Source organism: Homo sapiens, chromosome 7 (genome assembly GCF_000001405.40).
Source record: "Homo sapiens chromosome 7, GRCh38.p14 Primary Assembly".
In the NCBI taxonomy this organism is placed as follows: domain Eukaryota; kingdom Metazoa; phylum Chordata; class Mammalia; order Primates; family Hominidae; genus Homo; species Homo sapiens.
Genome location: NC_000007.14, coordinates 106,607,002 through 106,630,781, shown reverse-complemented (window position 1 = coordinate 106,630,781; position 23,780 = coordinate 106,607,002). Strand labels below are relative to the sequence as shown.

At 39.8% G+C, this 23,780-nt stretch overlaps 1 long non-coding RNA gene across 2 annotated transcripts; it reads right to left on the bottom strand.

Moving 5' to 3' along the window:
• Nucleotides 1-1,575: 1,575 nt before the first annotated feature.
• LOC105375440 (uncharacterized) lies at nucleotides 1,576-6,723 on the bottom strand. Of its 2 annotated transcripts, XR_927844.3 has the most exons (5): nucleotides 6,525-6,723; nucleotides 4,966-5,069; nucleotides 4,640-4,841; nucleotides 4,212-4,363; nucleotides 1,576-2,532 (listed from the first exon to the last, which is right to left on the bottom strand). It is a non-coding gene; the product is annotated as an uncharacterized LOC105375440 (long non-coding RNA). The 2 variants fall into 2 exon arrangements; XR_007060468.1 differs by having other exon boundaries at nucleotides 1,576-4,363.
• Nucleotides 6,724-23,780: the final 17,057 nt, after the last annotated feature.

Genomic DNA, 23,780 nt, shown 5'->3' with positions numbered 1-23,780 from the left:
AATGAGGGAAGCAGAGGTTGGAATGATGGAGGCAGAGGTTGGAAGGATGGAGGCAGAGGTTGGAATGAGGGAAGCTGAGGTTGGAATGATGGAAGTAGAGGTTGGAATGATGGAAGCAGAGGTTGGAATGAGGGAAGCAGAGGTTGCAATGATGTGCTTTGAAGATGGAAACAGAGGCATTAGCCAAGGAACACCTGCAGTCTCTAGAAGCTGGAAGAGACAAACAAAAGATTCTGTGCCGGGTTTTCCAGAGGGAATGAAGCTCGGCTGACACCTTGATTTTAGTTATCTAAGAGCCATTTCGGATTTCTGACCCCTAGAAATGTATTTGTGTTGTTTATACCCACCAAATTCTGGTAATTTGTTGCAGCAGCATGAGAAAGCCAATACAAGGAGGAGAGCTAGCTAAGTGGATTTCTCCACTGGATGAGAACTGGCTGTGGATGAAGGAGGGAGCAGCAGGGACCTGGCTGTGGATGAAACGGGGAGGGACCAATGCAAACAGACCCTTGGAGAATGGGCAAAATGAGAAGTCAGGGCCGACTTCTGCATTTCTGCTGTTACAGGCATGATTTGAAAAGGCAGGCGAATTCTGTTTGGGCATGAAATTTTAAAGTTTGTAGAAAAGAGGTGGTGGTTTCTTAAATTAATGACAGAACGTGCCATTTACGTGCAGGTTTTCAGATTCAAAACCTCCCAAGTGATCTCTTAATCATTGTTGCTTCCAGATGGTCCCCTGCAGATGCCCTCCTTCACTTTCCAAAACTGAAGAATGCCCAGCAGACAACTCGGAGTTTTGCATCCTGGGGTGTTAATGGCTCCATGTTAAACGTTCTGCTTTGGCTTGGGAGCTAAGAAATATTTGTAACCAAACAAACGTTTGATAGCTGGGGTCTTCCCTGAAAAAAATGATTTGCCCAAGACCATAGAAAAGTGTTGGAGCAGGAAAAAAGAAATTGAGTATTACTACTTGCTATCAGGCTTGGATGAAAATCTCTAGGCTAAAAATAAACTATCCATGGGTCAGCTCATTCTGTTATGACCCCAAATTTCTTAGGAAACAGTAATGCTAGAACTATTTCTCAAAGACATAGCAAATTAAAGGAACGTCATGCCAAATAGGAGACAAAAGATCAGATGCCCAGAAAAGGACTTCAAAGCCATGTAAGAATTATAAAAACAATCTTTTGTTTGAAAAAATGAATTAGAGCTACAATTTATTTATTTTAAAGCAGAAAATTACTTTATAAGGCAAGGGAGATTCAGGAATTGCATCCCCAGAAATTCTAAAAACTAAGAAGAATAAGATGTCTATCTTCTAAGCATGGGTATAGGAAGTCACTGCCCACTCACAGGTGAGTAGACATGATCAGAGCTTTTCAACTCTGGCTGCTAATAGTTTTGAAGTCCTTTTCTCTAGCTAGAGAGCTTTAAAAAAACACTGATGCCCAGGCCCCAGATCCTGATATTTTGATACAATTGGCTAAGAGATAGGACTAGATGGAGCCTGCAGTCCCTTGAAAATGTAAAAATTCCTTGATAAACAGGAATTTATAATTAGGATCAAAGCTTTAGTTAGCTGATTCTTTAACATATTTTATTTAGCAGTCATTCATTGTGTACACACTGTGCAGTTCTGCTCTTAAAAAACTCAACTCTAGGTGGGGTGTGGTGGCTCATGCCTGTAATCCCAGCACTTTGGGAGGCTGAGGAGGGTGGATCACAAGGTCAAGAGATTGAGACCATCCTGGCCAACATAGTAAAACCCCATCTCTACTAAAAATACAAAAATTAGCTGAGCATGGTGGCGGGTGCCTGTAGTCCCAGCTACTCAGGAGGATGAGGCAGGAGAATCACTTGAACTCAGGAGGCGGAGGTTACAGTGAGCTGAAATCGCCCCACTGCACTATGGCCTGGTAACAGAGCAAGACTCCATCTCAAAAAAAAAAAAAAAAAGAAAAAGAAAAAAACAAAAAACAAAACTCCACTCTAGTAGGGAAGTGGACCTTTAAACAGTAAGAATTCTCAATTCTCACACTTGTGTAACAGGTACCAGCAGAGGATTAAGTTTAACTTAAAGAGGTAGTAGAGAGGGAGGAGAGATTAAATTAATTCAGGGGTGTGGTGGGTAGATGTAAAGGTAAGAGAAGGCTCTGGTCCTAGCTGAATTGGAAAGCTAACCAGACTTTGCCAGGTTGTCAAGCAAAAAGAACATTTCCTGACTCAGGGAAACTGTGTGGAAAGTCACAGGCAGGCATCGCATGCTCAGAAGGTGATCAATAATATCACTGGAGGGTAACATTTAGGGGATGAAGCAGGGGAGAAACCTGCTGAGAATTGGCATAAGGGGAGCATGGGAGGTGAGGCTGCAGAGTAGGCTGGCCCTGGGGATCCTGGGGGATCTGTCAACCTTCAGGCCTTGGAAGGCACCTCCTGGAGCTGATGGACATCGAGTGGAGAGGTCTGAGAGCTGGGATATGATCAGATTTGCTTTTTTGCAGGATCCCTTTGGCAGGCCTGGGGAAGATAGGCCTAGGAGGAATGGGACAAAAAGCAAGGAGATGAGTAAGGAGTATGCAAGAGAAAGACAAACTGAAGTGCAAGATTGGAAAAGATAGATTTAAAAGATATTGAGATGGCAGAATGAACAAAATCTGGCCAACAAATGACAGATACAAAGGAGGCCCTCAAATCATTCTACATGGTTAAATGGTCCATGGGGTTTTTCTAATGAGGCTTAAGATGCTGCAATTACCCTTGTTTTCTTCTAGTCAATATTTTTGTACCCCTCCTAGATGTGGATGCTGCTTTACTGCTGAGCCAAGGTCACAAATGGCTGCTCCTACCCAGAATTGTGGCTACATCTTGCTCTGCTCCAACAGCCATCCTGCCCAAGTAGGGCAACAACCCTTCTACCTGTTCATCAGTCTGCAACAGAACCTTGCATTCACAGCCTCTTCTCCACTGGCGGCTGAATCAATCATTTGACTTGTGTTTCAGTCCATCATCACACCCTCTCTAATTACCCAATGCAAGAAGGAGGGCCATAAAATAGGGTGAAAGATGCAAAATTGGGCTGCACCTTAATACTGTCCCCATTTTCAGTCTAAACCTGGTTCCCTTTACTCCCTCCTTCTTCCCTGGTGCCAGTCACTTCTCCATCTGTATATTGTCGTGGAGATGAAGGAGCAGTCCCTGGTCTCTACTCACTTAGAGCCTTAGCCCTGGAGACTTCCACAGGATCTAACCACTGTCCACATGAGGCTTCTCAGGGCCTTCCTGCAAATAAAACCCTGGTGCATCCTGAATTCACCAAGGGTATGAGTTTAGGCCTTCCCTCTTGCCCCTCACTTTAATTTTGCAGAGATTTCAGGCAAGATTGCTAGAATTTAAACATGTGTCCTCTGTCTAATATAGAAATTATTCCTTCTGAGGCCAGTTGTGATGGCTCATCCCTGTAATCCCAGCACTTTGGGAGGCTGCAGAGTGAGGATTGCTTGAGGCCAGAAGTTTGAGACCAGTTTGGGCGATGTAGGGAGACCCTTGTCTCTACAGAAAATTGAAAAATTAGCCAGATATGGTGGTGTGCCTGCAGGACCAGCTACTTGGGAGAGTGAAGTGGGAAGATCACCTGAGCTTGGAAGTTCAAGGCTGCAGTGAGCTGTGATAGCACCACAGCACTCCAGCCTGGGCGACAGAGCGAAGAGGCCCTGTCTCTTAAAAAAGAAAGAAAGAAATTATTGTTTCAATTGTCACGTAGATCTGGAAAAACAGGTTCTTCCAGTATGTCAAGGCAATGTAAGTCATTTCCAATTTACTTCTATGCTCATACCCAATGTGTGGGGTTTCTATTAGTTTCCTTGGATTGTTGTGACAAATTACCACAAACTGGGTGGCTTAAAACAAGAGACACTTGTTCTTTCACAGTTCTGGAGGCCAGAGTCTGAAATCAAAGTGTCAGCAGGGTGAGTTCCTTCTGGAGGTTCTGAGGAAGAATTCGTTCCATGCCTGTCTTCTCAGTTCTTGCAGTTGCCAGCACCCCTGTCATTCCTTGGCTTGTGGCAACATAAATCCAATGTTAGCCTTTGCCTTCACATGGCCTTCCAGGTGTCCCTGTGTTATAACTCCCTTTTGCTTCCCTTAGAAGCACACGAGTCATCAGGTGTAGGACCCACTCTAAATTTATGATGATCTCATCTTAAAATCCTTACCTTCATCATACCTGCAAGATCCTATTTCCAAAGAAAGTCACATGCACAGCTGCAGGAGATTATAACTTTGACCTATCTTTTTGAAGCCACTGTTCAACTGATTAGAGGGCCCAGCATTATCTCTGCATTGGTTGTTCCAGCAAGGTGGCGACCTAGAAAAAATATATATCTGATAATAGGGGCTGTTTGGAATAAACTGGGAGATGGCTCCCTTCTGAATTTGAGGTTGGGAAGATCATATTTGGTGTTCTGAAGAGTACTTAGTATTAATGAAGGTATAGACACACACACACACACTCTAAAAATAATACTATTGTTATTTTCTGCGTTAAATAAACCTCCCATTTTCTGAGGTGAATTTCCCTCTCAGTTTTCCACAAGCCACTGTACTCTAATACTTTCCCCCTAGAATTTGATAAATGATTTACCTTTTCAAATAGTGTCTCCTACATGTATTCCTCACGGCACAGGTAGGCCTGGCATAGGAAGTGCCTCTTCTCAGCATGTTTCTTCTCTGAATTTGACAGTGAAAGGATTTCTGATCATCTCCACCCTCTTGGCGGCTCCAGCCAGGGTCATGTGCTCTTCCTGCTCAGCGGTCAGCAGGAAATGGCTGCTGGGATGCTGAAGCTGTTAAGAGAGGTGTGGTTAGTTCTCATGCCCCTTGTCCCACAGGTTTTGCCATTTGGCAAACTTAGAACATTGCTTGTGAATATCAGTTTCCACTTAGTATCTGAGAAAGATTGCTACTCACATCATGCGTATCGATGGCTTGGAACCTCTTTAGAAAATAAGACTTGGAGATAAGATCTATTGCCCTTCTCAAGCACCTCCAGAGCAGAAACCAAACACTCATTCCTAGAAAAGAATGTAAAATAAGACTCTGTTAGCCAAGACTCTCCTCATCTCTCTCTAAAGTTAACAGAGACAAGACACAAATACCCAATGAGGAAACGAAGTCTTCTGGGAGAAAGAAGAAAGATGTGGAGGTCAGACAGAGACCGCTGGCAAAGATACCAGCCCTGTTCCCAAGAACACCCGCCCTGCTTACCACAAGGGAGCAGAGGCCAACATGAAGATGACATCCCCAGTTCCTGTTCCTTTTCCCTAATGCTCCTACCTGCTCTGAGTAATGCCAATGTCTAGGAAAAAAAATACTGGCTGAATCCCACTGGAGAGTCCTTTGGCCTCAGTGGTGACACTTATAAGAAGTCCGCTTTAGATACCTTGAGAATTGGTTGGGCAGCAGCTTGGGGTTGGCTTTGGCAAAAATTAAATCTGTGAGACTGAGTTAAAGGGAAAATGGAACTAGCTTCCCAGGAATAATGCAAGATATGGGACTTTGCAAAAAGGGTGAGACCTGAAGGGAGATGGAACAATTTATATAAAGAGGTACAGTACCCCCTGCGTTCATTGAACTGAAGCAGCTGCAAATGAGGCATGTTTACCTCGTTAAATGAAGGTGGTGAGATGCTCCTTATCCTCATGTGAATAAAACAACAGCAATAACCTAAATATGCATTTAACTTCCCAGAAAAGTGGCTAAAAAAATTAGTGACAAATTGTTAAAAACTCCTTTTCCTGCCTGAGTTTGCCTAGAGGAAGGAAGTACAATATCACAATATTATATACTACCTGCTGTCTTCTGGAAAATAGGCCCTCAGTATGGAAAAGACAGTGAATTTGAACAGCCCAGGGATAATGGAATTTATCCATCCATCCACCCACCCACTCATGCATCCATCCATCCAACCATCCGTCCATGCATCCATCCATTCATCCACACAGTCATCCATTCATCATTCTACAAACACATTGCATATCTATGATATATAGGGCACTGTAAGGGCTATAAGGATAAATAAGACATGGTGCTGAAATCACATGTCTTTCACCCTCAGGATCCTGTGACACTGTAGTTTTCTCGATTAAATGATAAATTTACAAATCTTCCTTTAACCACAGTAAACAGCTGACTACCAGAGAAAGAGGTATCTGAAGTCAAAAAGTTACGGTTCAAATCCCAGCCCCATCACAAGTTGTGTGATTGTGGATAAATTAAGTCAACTCTCTGGGCCATAGTTTCCTCATTTGTAAGTGAGAAATAATTCCAACTCCAGGAAGTTATTATATGGAATAAATAAAATACATAAAGCTCCTGGGTATAGTAGTTCTCTTTTCTTATTTTTTTATGGGAAAATCTTTCCCTCTACCAGGAATGTGGCATTCCTCTTTAAAATAGTTGGTGTTTATAACTTTAGTTTGAGGCTCATAAAGAAAAGAATTTGATTGTATACCCCAAGTTGGGCTTACCTGGCAGGTCTCCTAGTTTTTTTCACAATAGTGCTCTTCCAGGATTCTTGAAATGTCCAAGTTTAAAGAGGTTTCAAAGCTCTCAATCAGCCTCCTGCTTCATGCCAAGTCAACTTGGATTTCTCTTCTTAACAGTGCTGAATCTCCTTGTGTGTTTTGGTTTTAGTGCATGCTAGTGCATTGAGGACTGCCAAAGGGGCCATCATTGCTCTTACTCATGCTTAAATATTTGCTCACCCAGCCTACAGACTCAGACTCAGTGACACATGTCAGGGAGCCACACACATTTCTCAAGTATTGAGTCAAAGGCTAGTATTTATTTATTGTTGGGTCAGACACATACTATTTATAAACTTAATTTAGTTTTGTGGTGTTTTTTAATCCTAAAGTCTCTTCAACCAAAACTTTAGGATCAGAAAACATTTAATTCTAAATTATCTTTTTGTTTTGTTTTGTTTTTTAAAGAAACGGGGTCTTGCTCTGTCACCCAGGCTGGAGTGCAGTGGAATGATCATAGCTCACTGCATCCTTGAACTCTTGGGCTCAATTTATCCTCCAACTTCAGCCTCCCAAGTAGCTGGGACTACCACCACCAGACCTGGTTAATTTTACTTTCATTTTTGTATAAATGGTGTCTCGCTATGTTGCCCTGTGTGGTCTCACACTCCTGGCCTCAGGCAATCCCCTGAAAGTGCTGGGATTACAGGTGTGAGCCACTGTGCCCAGCTTAAATGATCTTCATTATTCAAAAATGCATTTATGGTTCTTATGAAAAATAAGATGAATATAGGTAAATGTCATTTCAGCAAAAATGGAAAATATCGAGAGAGGAAGAAATTCTATAATGTGTTGATAATTTCACAGAGATTACATTGGGCAAATTGTAGATCCTTTAAATATCTTGCTCCACCAATCCTTCCTGCAAACTTCTGGTTCCCTTTATTAGCTCTGTAATCATGGGCAAATACTCCAGTGTTTTATTTTTCCCATTTGTAACATGGGGACAATAATACCTATATTCAGAATGGTTGCAAGATCACAGATAATGCCAATAAAAGATGTAGCAGAAAGCCTGGCACATGACACTCAATAAACACTATATTACAGGCATACCTTATTTTATTGCACTTTGCTTTATTGCACTTTGCAGATTTTGTGTGACTTTACAAATTGAAGGTTTCTGGAACCCTGCATTGAGCCAAGTCCATTGGCAACATTTTTTCCCAACAGCATGTGTTCACTGTGTCACATTTTGGTAATTCTCACAATATTTCTAATTCTTTCATTATTATTATATCTGTTTTGGTGATCTCTGATCAGTGATATCGGATGTCACTGTTGTAATTGTTTTGGGGCTCCATGAACCATGCCCATATAGGACAGCAAAGTTAATCAGTAACTGTTGTGTGTGTTCTGACTGCTCTACTGACCAGTTGTTCCATCTCTCCCCATCTCCTTGGGCCTCCCTATTCCCTGAGACACAACAATATTGAAATGAAGTCAAAATGGCCTCTAAGTATTCAAGTGAAAGGGAGAGTTTGCATGTTTCTCTCTTTAAATCAAAAGCTAGAAATGATTAAGCTGAGTGAGGAAGGCACAACAAAAACCAAGATAAGCTGAAAGCTAGGACTCTTGAACCACAGCTGGCCAAGTTGTGAATGCAAAGGAAACATTTTTAAAAATATTAAAAGTGCTACTCAAATGAACACATGAATAATAAAGTTAAACAGCATTATTGCTGATATAGAAAAAGTTTGATTGGTATAGCTGGAAGACTAAATCAGCCACAGCATTTAATTAAGCTAAAGGCTAATCCAGAGTAAGGGCCTAACTCTCTTCAATTCTATGAAGGCTGAGAGAAGTGAGAAAGCTGCAGAAGAAAAGTTTGAAGCTAGCAGAGGTTGGTTCATGAGGTTGAGGAAAGAAGTCATCTTCATAACATAAAAGTGCAAGGTAAAGTCCTGATGTAGAAGCTACAGCAAGTTACCCAAAAGATCTATCTATGATAATTGATGCAGGTGGCTTCACTAAACAATAGCTTTTCAGTGTAGACAAAACAGCATTGTATGGGAAGAAGATGCCATCCAAGACTTTCATCACTACAGAGGAAAAGTTAATGCCAGCTCCAAAGGACAAGCTGACTCTTGTTATAGGCTAATGCAGCTGGTAATTTTAAGTAGAAGCCAATGCTCATTTACCATTATAAAAATCCTAGGGTCCTTCAGAATTATGCTAAGTCTACTTTCCCTGTGTTCTATAAATGGAACGGCAAAGCTTAGATGACAGCACATCTGTTTGCAGCATGATTTATTGAATATTTTAAGCCCACTTTTGAGACCTACTGCTCTGAAAAAAAGATTCCTTTCAAAATATTACTGCTCATTGACAATGTACCTGGCCCCTTAAGAACCCTACTGGAGATGTACAAGGGGATTAATGTTATTTTCCTGCCTGCTAACATAACATTTATTCTGCAGCCCATAGATAAATAAGTAATTTCAACTTTCAAGTCTTATTGTTTAAGAAATACATTTTGTAAGCCTATAGTTGCTACAGTGATCCCTCTGATGGATTTGGGCAAAGTGAATAAAAACCTTCTGGAAAGGATTCACTACTCTAGATGCCAACTAGAACATCTGTGATTCATGGGTCAAAGTATCAACTTTAACAGAAATTTGGAAGTTGATTTCAACCCTCATGGATGACTTGGCAGGGTTCCAGTGGAGGAATTAACTGCAAATATGGCGAAAGTAGTGAGAGAATTAGAATTAGAACTGGAGGCTAAAGATTGACCGAGTTGCCACAATCTCATGATCAATGGATGAGGAGTTCGATAAGCAAAGAAAGTAGTTTCTTTAGTTAGAACTTACCCCTGGCGATAATGCTGTCAACATTGTTGAAATGACAACAAAGGATTTAGAACATTACGTAAACTTAGTTGATAAAAGCAGCAGCAGGGTTTGAGAGAATTGACTCCAGTTTTGAAAGACGTTCTATTGCTATCAAACAGCATCTCATGCTACACAAAAGTCTTTTGTGAAAGGGTCAATTGATGCAGCAAACTTCATTGCTGTCCTATTTTAAGAAATTACCATAGCCACCCCAACCTTCAGCAACCATAATGCTGATCAGTCAGCAGCCATTGACATGGAGGCAAGACCCTCTACCAGCAAAAAGATTAGGACTTGCTCAAGGCTGAGATGATTGTTAATATTTTTTAGCAACAAAGTATTTTAAATTGAGGTATGCACATTTTTAGATACAATGGTATTGCACACTTAATACGCTACAATGTAATGTAAATATAACTTTTATATTCACTGGAACACAAAAAATTTATGTGACTCACTTTATTGCGATATTCTCTTTATTGCAGTGGTCTGGAACCAAACTTGCAATATTTCCAAAGTATGACTGTATTATGATTTACTTTCCAAACTTATTTCTCTCTGCCTTTATGTGTTACTGTGTCTCAAAGGTGAGGGCTTTTGTAGGTCAAAATGTCATTCATATGTGGTATAAACTATCTAAAAATGCAATATTTTTATTCTGTCTTTGGGAAAAGCAACCTTCTCTTTTTTTTTAACCCTTCTCTTTATTAAACATATAAAAAAAGACTACTTATAAGTAACTGATCAAATGAGTTACTAAATTTAGTGCTAGAGATTATTGAGAACTGGAATCCATATTGTGGTTCGGCACACAAAGAGCTAGTGAGAATTTCCTCATTTCATGCATTGAAGTTATATTTATTGCACACCTTCGGTGTCAGGTACTGTTAGGCTTCGGTATACAGTGATGAACCATACATACCTGGTCTATATTTGCATGACACTTAAAGCTTTAAACAAACACAAAAGTTACATGTATAATTATAAATTGTGTTAAGTGCCATGAAATAAAAGACAAGGATCCATGGAGAGAATTACATGCAGGACAAAATTTTAGATTGGGGGATTGTCAAAGCAAGTGCCTGTGGGGAAGAGGCACTTCAACTTTGGCCATTGGTATGCTAGGAGCTAGCCAGGCAGAGTGGGTACAAAGTGCACTGTAAGAAGGTTGGTAAGAATGGATCTAGTTTAAGGAACCAGGAGAAGAGTGTGGACACAATCACTGAAATAAGGGAAGCATGAGGCAAGATGGCATTAGAATGGGTACCTCCTTAGGAACTAGAGGGCCTTGTCAGGTTACAGATCCTATATGTTATTATAAAGGGTACAGTGGGGACCTTAGGAATGTTTTAGAATAATCTCATTAGATTCAGGATTGTTAGATGGCATTCTAGCTGCTGTGTAAATCAGGTATTGGGGCTGAAGTGGGAAGGATGAGGGGGCACAGAGGTTAAGAAAGAAAGCAGCAAGATCAGTTGGAGTGTGGTGAGAGATCAGGTGACTTGGCTTAGGGTGATGGTGGTGGAAAGAAACAGAGGCAGAGCTGAAAGTATTTGGTGATGGACAGATCGTAGGAGGGATTGATGGGGGAGGGATGAAGAATGACTTTCAGGCTTTGTGCTTGAGCAGCTGGGAGGGGCAGGACATCATAAGGGTGGTCTTAAGTTGGTTGTAGATTTCAATTGCTGCTATTTTTGGTATTATTTAATATATTTAGAGAATTTTGGTTAGAATTTTGTTTTGTTTCTATCCAATTGCTTAGTTGTTACCATCTCAATTGGTCAGAAGATTGTCTCTAATTCCTCGCTGTCATCAAGATCTTTTCACACTGGAATATGAAACTAGTGGGTTATGTACACCATCTTTTGCTCTGTCTTTAGTTGCAATCACAAATCTTTTTTTTTTTCTTGTAGAGATGGGGTCTTGCTACGTGGCCCAGTCTGGTCTCGAACTCCTGACCACAAGTGCACAAACTTTTAATTGCCATGCTTTAGAAGAATCTCCCACTCCAATGAAATTGGTTTCCTCACTGTTTACTGAACATTTTCCCGTCTTTTTTTCTTCACATTTGCTCTTGTCTGAAATGCCCTTCCCCTTCCTGCCTACCTATTAGAAGTCTGACCATCCTTTAAGATTCAGCTCATGTCTACTGCTTATGAGAAGGTTTTACTGACCACCAGCTCACTGGGCTTCTGACACATCATGGTTGCTTTGCAATCTTAGTTTTCTTTGCATGAGTGTAAGATTACCCCCAAAAGATTCCAATTTCCTTGAAGACCCCAAGGTGGAGTCTTTATTGGCCCTACAGAAGCTTTCAGGAAATCTATCACATAGTCAAAGCTCAAATAATGTTTCTTGGTCAGTGGTTAAAGTCATGTCAAGTCAGGTGGGAGAGGAGGCTACTGGAGGAGTTATTCTGGGTCAGACAGGACCTAAAACAGGCCTCATCACACTAGAAGTTGAAGGCATTCTACTACCTGGCTACATATAAATAATATTAAATTTCTAACGTATTCTACACATAAGACAAAATAATTGGGTTTATGGCCTCTGTTCTTGCCTATCTATCAATGATTGGAGATTGAACTTGAAGAGAAAGCAAATTTTAGATCTTGTGATATTTCCATACTATTTGTTACTGTACTTTCTAGAGCCATGCTGTCCATTTTTGTTTTTCATTCTCTGAGACACATTTATCAAGACAGCTCCTGGGCATGAGTCCAAAAAACAGTTTCAAGAATTCAGGGAATTAAATAGCACCAACCAAATTTTCAGTTGCAACAGTAGTTATTAAGTAGAGCTCATTTAATTCCAGGCTATGATCTGGACCAAGGAAAATTAACTCTTGCCTTTTTGAAGTCTCACTGTTTGTGGAGCTGGGACACCAAAGTCATGTCTGTTTGAATTTTTGATAGCCTAATCCTCCACCCAAGGTATGCTAAATTATGACACATGCATCTTTAAGCCACATATAAAGTAACCTTCCTTCGAGAATTTGGGGAATTTTCAAAATACTCTGGAGGCCACTTACAAGTATCATAAAACCAGTACCTATAATCTTTTGGTTTAGGAAATTGAAGTAAAAATATGAAGGATAAAGTCAATGCAAACAAAATCAATTTTTACATTGCATTTAATTGTCCTCTTTCCAGAAAGCAATTCATTGAGAATCCCCTAAACTGGATTACTCTCCTTTTTTGTCTGGGGGTGGGGTCTCAATATCTAGCACATTGGTTCTTAACTCCAGCCCAGATCAGAATTACTTGCAGAACTAGTTCCCAGGCAGCAGGGTGATCGTAACGTGCAGCCAGGGTTCAAGACCAAGGCAGCTAACCTAAATAAGGCAGCTGTAATGAGTATGCTTCTATCTAAATCCAGTGAAACAGGAATCCTTCTGGCAGCCTTTATTATAACAGCTGCAGCCTAGAAACAACACAAATACCTACACACAGTGGTATGGATAACTAAATTGTGGAATACTCATACAAAAGAATAGGATACAGAAATGAAAATTGCTAAGTTACTATTGTATCAAACAGCATGGATACAACCCCAGTAATGTTGAGTGAAAGAAGCAAGACATAAAGGAACACATACTGTTTCATTCCAGTTTTATTAACTTCAAACACAGGCAAATCTAATCTATAGTGTTAGAAGTCAGGGTATTGGTTAAGTTGGGGGAGGGAGATGGAGGCAGTAATTGAGAGTGATCACAAGGGAAAGATTCCATGGTGCTGGTAATAGTCTATTTTTTAAGCGTTGTGGAAGTTAGAGGCCAAAGGTTATACAAAATAAAATATGTTTTCATTTTATCATTTCAGTATGTTCTAAAATCTATACACTGAAATGATTAAAGAGGTTCACCTATAATATCAAACACTATAATATTTTGGAGGAAGATATTTGGTTAAAAAATAGTAATAAGATTTTACAGTGACATTTATCATTGTGGGTCTTGATTTTCTACTAGTTCTTGGTCTTTTAATATAATGTGATCTTGGAGACAGACCTACTTAAGACAATACTTTTCAAGTTAATTCCAGCAAATGGGGTCTAAGATAAATCTGCTCATTTAATTCTTCTCCAAAGTAAATAGCCTATGATATAAAGCCATTTATATAATTTTCAAATAACTATAATATCTTATGAATTCATATTGCAATATAGACCTGGGCAGCATTAACACTGGGCTATTTTAAACCCTCTTAATACCCTGAGAGTACCTAATAAATTTGTGAATTGAAATATGTTATTGAAGATGATGATATCCTGGACTAAATTATTTAATTCATTTATGAGTGTTATTATTTTCTGATTATAACAGTAATAGGTTTGTTGTAAAAAAAAAAAGTTGAAAAATAATTAAAAAATTAAAAATGCTTATAATTCAGCCACTTAGAGGTAAGCACTTTTATTACACTGTGGTATAATTCTCTGGGAAAAAGAAAGGATGTGTATATGCATGCATTTAAACAAAATTAGCTACACAGCTTTGACTCACTCCCACTTTTTTCATTTAGTGATATAGTGTAAGCATTTTCCTGAGTCATAAATGTTCTTCAGAGGTATGAATCTTAGATGTTAATTTCTTTAAACTCTATTGTTGGAGTTTTAGGTTATTTCCATCTTCTTGCTTCCATTAGATGCTAAGAATGGAATGAGCATTGTTTGGTGGAGAAAACAGGCTGAAGACAGGCAGGGAATGTGCAGGGGAGGATCTTGCATAGCCAAGCTTTGCAATGGCTTATACCTTGTTGTCAGTGTTTGCACCCTTCTCTGGCTCCTCTTCACCTTCTTTTTTTCCTCCCACCCTCTCCATACCTACCCATACCTCTTCCTCTTCCCCCTCTTCTTTTCCCCCTCCTCCTCCTCCCTCCTCTTCCTCTCTCTCCTTCTTCTCCATTCCAGCCACACTGACTTCCTTGCTATCAATACACCAGGTCCTTTTCTGCCCTCAGGAATTTTTGGCTCTGTCTGCCTGAATTACTTTTCTCTCCTGTCACAAGTGTCTCCTTCATGCCTTTACTTCCTTGAGGGGCTAAATAATTGTCCCCAGGTCAGATACCTAGAGGGTGAGTCCAGGTCTTCTGACTTTGATTCTTTAATTAGGAGATAGCCCAGGGCTGGGATAGCCTGGTGAGAGTAGGGAGTGGGCCTGTAGGCTGGTCCTCTGTCCAGCTCTTATTTGACAGCCCATGGTGGCTGATTCATCTCTGTATTTAAGACATTCTTCCAGTATCTCCCTCTAGAAGAGAAAATACACAGAACTGTACATGTAATATTCAGTGTCAGGCACGGCGCACAGGTTTTCACGCACCATCTCAGTAAACCCTCATGTTGACCTCTCATGTGGGAGTTCTTATTCCAGTTTCCAGATAAGGAAACTGAGAACTTAGAGAAGTGAAGTGACTTCCTCTCACAATGAGTGATGCTTAGATAACCATTTGGGAAAAGTAGTAACAAGATATACTTAAGATTTCTAGTTCTCAACCAGGCCCTATTCTCTGGGCAATTTTGAGATTGTTGTCTAACAATTTTGGTGTTTCTCCTTCTGAAAAATAGAGATGACAAATTTATGCACCTTGTCTTTGATAGGTTGCTGGGAGGACCAGCTCACTGACAGATTAAAGTTACCAAGTTGAAGTGATGAGCTTGAATCCTTCTGCAGTCACACGTTTGGCCTAGCAGAGGTGAGAGGTGGGATTTCAGATGACTTTGACACTCTCCATCAACTCCTTTCCCCAGATCTGGCCATTTGTTCTCATTTCATTCCCAATTCTTTCTCTTTGTTCTTTTTAAACCATATTTCCCATATGTCTGCTCATTCCCTGTAATTTCTCCTCATGTCTAGCAATTGTCATTTCCCATATGTCCACATAAAATCTACCATCTAAGAAGAAAAAAAATCAGAAAACAAAACCAGAGAAGTAAGACTCAACATTAAAATGTAATTTAGAGTTAACATTTCCTCTCAAAATACAGCAGTAGGGACTGGATTTATATTCCTGCTGGAAATAACTAAGAAAGTAGACAAAGTACATGAAACAATTGTTCTCAAGACAAGATGTCAGTCAATGAAGGACAATGATCTTTGCGAGATGGGAAATAAATGAAGAGATCCATAAAATTGCCCTAACTTACTGACTGAACAAAGTTTTCAGGCCACGGTACAGAGAGGAGGAAATGAGGCCGAGTTGAGGAGTTTCCCTAAATTGTGGGGATGGAGTCAGTAGTCCATGGAGGCTGCTATATTTAATATCTAATGTGTATTAGGAAACTAGCTGAGACCAAGGGAAGAAACACCCAAAAGGATTAGAGGAAACAATACCCAGGATCACACGGGGCCAGGAATAATCCCTGTTCTCAATAGCTGGTGTGGAAGACCTCATAATTCACATGCCATTTGGTAGAATGCTAAGGAGAGTTTTGCCACAGCAGTGAAGAAAAATTATCCCTTCACTAACTACTGCTCTGGTCTTGCCTAAAAAGGCTTAAAAACAAGCCTGAGAGGTTAAAACTATTTCCAAGGAATTTAACTGAATCCCTAAACAAAGTTCAAGAATATTTATGAGAATACAAAAATATCCAGCACCGTCTAAAGTAAAACTCACAATGTTTGGCATCCAATCAGAAATTACCAGGCATGCAAACAAACAGGAAAATACAACACATAATAAGGGGGAAAATCAGACAGTCAAAACTGACCCAGGAATTATGCAGATAATAGAATTAGTAGAGAACATTAAAATGGTTATTTTAACCATATTCCACATGTTCAAGAAGTTAGAGTGCAGATTGAGCATGTTAAGTAAAGACATGCAAGTTAAGAAATCCAAAATAAACTTCTAGAGATGAAAACTATAATGACTAAAATTAAAAATCTAGTCTAAGATTACTAGGTAGGATCAATGAGAGATTAGACATTTCAGAATAAAAGATTAGAGAACTTGAAGACATAGCAATGGAAACCATCTAAAACAAAACACATAGAGAAAAGAATGCTTCAAGTGTAATTGGATCCCCAAGGGGTGAGACAGGCAGAAAAAATAAATAAATAATGGACAAGAATTTTTAAAGTTGATGAAAATTTTAAATGTATAGATTTAATAAGCCCAGTGAACTGCAAACACAGGAAAACATGAGGAAAACTATGCTAAGTCACTTCATAATCATGTTGCTTAAATTTAAAAATAAAAAGGGAATCTTAAAAGAACCTGGAGAAAAATACACAAATAAAAGCAGATTTCTCAACAGAACTGATACAATCAAGAATGCAATGGAGAAACATCTTTCAAATATATTTAAAAATTTTTTTGTGACCCTGGATTAGGCAGATTTCCTAGTTACAACACCAAAAGCATGATTCATTACAAAAAAATTGGACATTCTCAAACTAAGAACTTTTACTTTTTGGAAGACTTTTTAAAGTATTAAATGATAACACACAGGCTGGGAGAAAATATTTGCAAATGACCTATATGACAAGGGGCTTGTATCCAGAACATAACTCTCAAAACTCAATTTTGTGAAGATAATCCAATTAAAAATGGCAAAAGATTTGAACAAACACATTACCAAAGAAGATATATGAACGGCAAATAAGTGCATAAAAAGCTGCTGAACATTATAAGGCCTTAGGGGAAATGCAAATAAAAACTACAATGACATAACAATACACATCTTTTAGAATGTTTAAAAGACTGACCTACTAAATGATGTGGTAACTGGAACTCTCATGCACTGTTAATGGGATTGTGAAAATGCAACTATTATGGAAAACAGTTAGGTATTTTTTTAAAAAAATTTAAGCATGCACCCCGTATGTGACCCAATCTACTCCCAGGTATTGTCACTAAAAAGATCAAAGCAGGCCGGGCGCGGTGGCTCATGCCTATAATCCTAGCACTTTGGGAGGCCGAGGCAGGCGGATTGTCTGACTTCAGGAGTTTGAGACCAGCCTGGGCAACATGGTAAAAGCTGTCTCTACTACAACACAAAAATTAGCCAGGCATGGCAGTGTGCACCTGTAGTCTCAGCTACTTGGGAAGGTGAGGCAGGAGAATTGCTTGAACCCTGGAGGCAGAGGTTGCAGTGAGCCAAAATCATACCACTGTACTCTAGCCTGGTGACAGAGCAAGGACTCCATCTCCAAAAAAAAAAAAAGATCAAAGCATTTGTCCATAAGAAGAATTTTACAGGAATGTCTACAGAAGCTTAATTTATACTAGGCAAAATGTGGGAACAATCCCAATGTGCATTCATATGTTAATAAGCAAAACAGTGATGAATTATTGATACATAAAACAAGGTGGCTAAAATTCAAAATAATTATTCTGAGTGAAAGAAGCCAGATTCCCCAAAAGAGAGAATGATATTCTAGAAAATGTGAGATAACCTATAGTGACAGGAAACAGACCAGTGATTGCCTAGGGCTGGGCATTGGGAGGTATAGGATGGAGGGATAACAAAGGACATTTTTAGAGGTGAAAGATATGTCCGTTACGTTGATATGGTGATGTTGACATGGGTATATGCATATATCAGAACTTATCAAATTGTGTACTTTAAATATGTACAGTGTCTTAGTCCATTTTATGCTGCTATAACAGAATGCCACAGACTGGGTAACTGATAATAAACAGAAAGTTATTTGGCTCATGGTTCTGGAGGCTGGGAAGTCCAAAAGCATTCAAAGATGCCAAAGAAGTCCAAAGGCATCCAGTGAGCGTTTTTGTGCTGCATCATCCCACTGAGAAAGGCAGAAGGGCAAAGAGCATACAGGAGAGCAAGAGGGGGCCAAACTCACTTTTATAAAAAGCTTACTCCCCAGGTAACAAACCTGCTCCTGGGTTAACAACATTAATCCATTCATGAGGGCAGATCACTCATGACCAATCACCTCTTATTAGGCCCCAGCTCCCAACACTGTTGCAGTGGAGATTAAGTTTCCCATACATGAGCTTTGGGGGACACATTCAAACCATAGCAAGCAGTTTATTGTATGTCAGTTATACCTCAATGAAGCTGTTTGTGTGTTTTTTAAAGTATGTGATCAGATATTCTGCCTGTCAACCTCCAGAACTACTATGGCATTGCTCAATTTTCAAAACTGATCCTCAGGCATCCACTGATTTTCCGAATCCCCAGTATTAATCCCATAAATTATACCTTTTCCTAAAAAATACATGCAATTGGGAGAAAGGGAAACACTCTGGCAGTTATGATACATAGCAATTAGAGAAATGTGTCATCGTTCTTGGAACTGTGGGATAGAGGCATAGTGTGTGTTTGCTTTAGGCAACTCTGAGCTGGCTGTGTCCCACGTGCCCTTTACCTTGTCCTTTCATTATTTGTTTCCCAGTTATCCTCTGCCTCTTCCAGCTATATAATGAGCAAAACTTGGTCTATTTTGATCACTTCTGCATTTACAGTAGAACAATAAACACCACATAGGAGGTGCTCATCAAATCTTTCTTAAACAAATGATTGAGATTTATTGCTCCTATATAGAGTGTATATCCAGATATTTGATAATGCTATTGGTAAAAGTTCCCCAAGCCATCATAATTTCACTGATTTCAAGACTCTCATTTTTAAACAATTTGTAGATTTTGTTAAAACAACCACAAGCTACCTAGCCCTAAAACTTTACTTTCTGTATCAGACAATGCCCCTATTTGTTCTTCATTCACACTCTTATGTAACCGAATGAGGAAGACTCTATAATACGTTTCTTGTTTAGGAAAGCCAAATTCTTAATTTTTTCACAGTCAAACAATGAAATCTGACCATGTGAAACTCTGCAGTGACGTGGCAACAGAGATAGAGAATTGATTCTTGTTTAGGAAAGCCAAGTTCTTAATTTTTTCACAGTCAGACAATGAAATCTGACCATGTGAAACTCTGCAGTGACGTGGCAACAGAGATAGAGAATTGATTGAGGTTAACCTCTCTGGGCTGATCCATGTAAGCTGCTTGGAGCATGAGCGCAGTTAAATGAAAATGGATTCACGAATATGCCTACTGCTTGCTCAAATAACAAAAAGTAAACACTTAAACAATAAGTCATTTTCCCAGAGAGTAGTTTTGTAAGAGAGATTGAGTAGAAAATTGATGAATTCTTCACTAGAGCCTTTCCTCCTGGAGAGACACAGCTCACCATCTTGGGGGTGTGGAACAGAAATATGAAACCTGGGCACTTGTTGAAAGGGAGGGTTGTCTTAGTAACAACATTCTCTAAATTGTGCCTTAAGCATTGACATGGTAATCAAAGCCAGTCATTTAGTAGTTATTATAAGTGGCTCAGAAGCTGACAATTTTTACATGCTTCAGCAACAATTTATGATATTTAATCATGTTCACTTTGTTCATGTTTACTTTGTGCATGAACACTGCCTTGGTAGCCATTTATTCCCCCTGAAAAATGGGTCCCATGTATTCCAGTGGACTTTCAAATCTAGCCTTCCTGAGGTGGGGAGTGGGCAAAAGGGCATTCCTTGATATCCATCTTTTATTTTATTGAATACTCAGGGACCTATCCTGTAAAAAGATTCAGACTTTTCTCAGTCTGTGTTCAGTTTGAATTGAAAGCCCACTGTCTGCAGTCAATTCAACTTAAGAAATTTGTTATATCTTCCAGGCATTGTGAGACATGTAACTGAAGAAAAATGGCTTCCCTAAGGTCATTTGTAATGGGTACAGTAGATTGACCCTCAAAATCAGTCTGCCTTCCTAATGATACCTCGTTTATTGGAAGGTCATGAAACCATTTAGCGGGTCAAGATCAGAGTGATTTAAAATAAAATAGAAACAATTTCCCAAAGCGTACCTATATAAAAACATCAGTTTGTGTACCTTAAATATATATTAATAGAATGCCTCTTTATCGATTATATTTCAATAGGTTGAAATTTTTAAAAAATGAAATAGAACCACAAAGAAAATATCAGAACACATTGCACTTAGTAAAGGTAAGTAATGTCTTATAAAAATTTTATTTCATGTACTCATATATGTGTGCTTATACTGGGTGTGATAAAATATGCATTTCCTATAGTGGCATGGGGTCAAAATATTTGAGAGAAACTGTTGCCATGTGCCTTTCTGCATTGCCTGACTCCCTTGTACCTGGAGTTCTGGATAGGACTTAGGTTCGGCCAATCTAACGTAGGGTACTTGCATGAGATTTGGAAGGTGTGATGGTTAATTTTATGTGCCCAGATATTTCGTCGATCATTATTCTGAGGCTGGGAGCAGGGGCTCACCCCAGTAATCCCAGCACTTTGGGAGGACAAGGTGGGTGGATTTCTTGAGCTTAGGAGTTCAAGACCCGCCTGGGCAACATGGTAAAACCCTGTCTCCACCAAAAATCCAAAAAATTAGCTGGGTGTGGTGGCATGCACCTGTGGTCTCAGCTACCCAGGAAACTGAGGTGGGAGGATTACCTGGGCCAGGGAGGCAGAGGTTGCAGTAAGTCAAGATCTCACCACTGCACTCCAGCCAGAGTGACAGAGTGAGATCCCAACTCAACAAGCAAACAAACAAGCAAACAACAACCAAAAGAACTCCATCATTCTGAGTGCTCCTGTGAGGGTGTTTTCGGATGAGATTAACATTTTTATCAGTAGACAATAAAGCAGATTGCCCTCCCTAATGTGGGTGGGCTCATGCAGTCAGTTGAAAGCCTGTATAGAACAAAATGGCTGATCCTTTCATGAGTAACAGGAAATTCCTACTGCATGACTTCTTTCAAACTAGGACCTCAATTTTTTTCTGTCTTTGGGCTCAAACTGAAACATTGGCTCTTCCTGGTTCTTGAGACTGCTGGGCTTCACACTGAAACTACATCATCAGCTCTCCTGGGCCTCCAGCTTGTCAACGTACCTTGCGGATCTTGGGACTTGTCAGCCTCCATAATCATGGGAGCCGCTCCGTATAATAAATCTCTTTCTCTATAGAAATGTATCCCATTGATTCTGTTTCTGTGGAGAACTCTGACTAATGAAAGGTGTATCTATTGGTTATATTGCTGTTTCTGGCAAGCATAATGTGGGAGGCAGAATTCTAAAAATAGCAGCCAAGGTTCCATACCCTAATCCCAGAACGTATGATTATGAAGAGATGCTATTGCTGTGATCATACTGTTATCTCGCATAGTTGATTTAAAATAGAGAGATGACCTGGGCAAGTCTAATCTCATCACATGAACCCATTTAAAAGCAAGGAATTTTCTCTGGCTGAAGGCAGTAAAGGAAGTCAGAGAGATTAGTGTTTGGGGGCTGGGGAATCCCACATGAGGGATCTTGCTACCAGCTGTGATGCTATGAGAGGATCTATGAAAAAGCCCATGCAAGGGAGTGACCTCTAGAAAGACCTTAGTCCTACAATAGCAAGGAACTGAATTCTGCCAAACTTGAATGAGCTTGGAAGTAGATTCTTCCCCAGAGCCTACAGATAAGAACCCAGCCTGCTGCACCTTGACTCTCTGCTTAGGGCAGAGAACCCAGCCAAGCCCACCTGGACTTTTGACCTGTAGAAGTGAGATAATACATGGGTATTGTTTTAAGCCATTAAAGTTTGTGGTAATTTATTACACAGCAATAGAAAACTAAAGCACATGGTCACAGAGGTATGTTTTTCTGCAGCAGCATTAGCAGAGATTCTAGGGGCCAGTCGTTGGTATCCAGAGGCAGGTGCAGGGCACCTGTCTGGGCTCATGCAGAGCTAGCAGTTATTGTGGCTCTGAAGCCAACAGCTCCAGTGGCCACCATTTTTAGACCTCCCATTGTGGAAGAGATCCAGGTTACACTGGCAGGACAATTCTGAGTGGGGTTGTTCTGGGATTCCAGCGGGGACAATTCTGAGTGGGATTGTTCTGGGATTCCAGGGGGCACAGCCTAGAGCCCATTTATTCAGCCCTTCAAAAGATGTTATCAGCATCTAATTCCTCATATTAAATCACTTTCTGCTTAAATATAAAGTGATTTCTGTTATATGCTGCTGAACCTTGGCTATTACATCTCTAATTCTTTCCTACTTGTTTTATACAATGACTTCTGTCAGCTTATTTAAAATCTCTAGAGCATTGAGCACCTCTTACTTCCTGAAAATCCTTTCTCTTTTCATTTTGACAACACCTCGCTTTCCTAGTTTCTCTTATATATTTTCCTCTATTAATTTTCATTTCATTTTCCCAGTTCCTTTTCATTTAAAACACAGGTATTGAGCACCTACTGGGTTGAAGATTCTAGGTGAGTAAAGTGCAGGAGCCCCATCCAAGAACTGATCATGGATCTTGTCCTCTTGAGACCTGCCAGTATGTAAACAAGTAACTATAGTGATGTGATAAAATCTGTACTAGAGGTGGGTAAGAGATACTCTGGAAGCCCAAAGGAGAAAAGATATTACTCTTTCTGGGGCAGTTAGGGAGGGATTCACAAAAAGATGGAACTTAAGGCTAGTCTAGATGCAGGAGTAGACATGTTTCAGATTGAAAGGACATTCCAGGCAAAAGGAACAAAGAGGACAAAGAAATGGAAGTTTGGGTATGTGGCATATTAAAGGAACAGCAAAGAGGCTGGATTTCTGTGGCTGGATTTCTGAGTGCAGATGGAAGATTGGCAGATAAATGAAGTTAAGATTGGTATAGAAGGTGACATGTGGGCTGGATCCTAGAAATAGAATTTATTGGAGATAGTTATCTTACTAAACCTCTTTACTTTTGCTCATTATCCATTCTATTCAGATAAAGCATGAACTCATTAGTTTGACTAAAAATGTTTGGCATTTCTTTCATCCCAGTCTCCTCTCCCCTACCATTCATTCACTCATTTCCTCATTCATTCATTTAGTTAGAGAGGTGGTGGAGGACAGATCATGTAAGATGCAAAGGTCATTGAAAGATTTGAGCTTTTCATCCAGGTGAGATGGTAAGTCAGTTGAGTGGCCTGATCTAATTTATATTCAAAAAGAATTACTCTAGTTACTGTCTGGAGAGTAGAATGGGGTGAGAGGTACGAGCTTAATCAAAGAGACAGATAAAGAGGGCATTTTAATAATCTAGAAATGTCCTTGGCTTGAATAACGTTGGAAGTGGTGGAGATGATGAGAAGGGTTATGATTCTGCCTATGTTTTGAAGGTAGAGATAACAGGATTTGCTGGTGGACTGAATGTGGAATCCGAGAGGGGAAAAAAAAAGAGGAATCAAGGATGATGTCTGGGCACAGTGGCTCACACCTGTAATCCCAGCACTTTAGGAGGCTAAGGTGGGCAGATCACTTGAGCTCAGGAGTTTGAGACCAGCCTGGGCAACATGGTGAAACACTGTCTCTACCACAAATACAAAAAAAAAAAAATTTAGCTGGG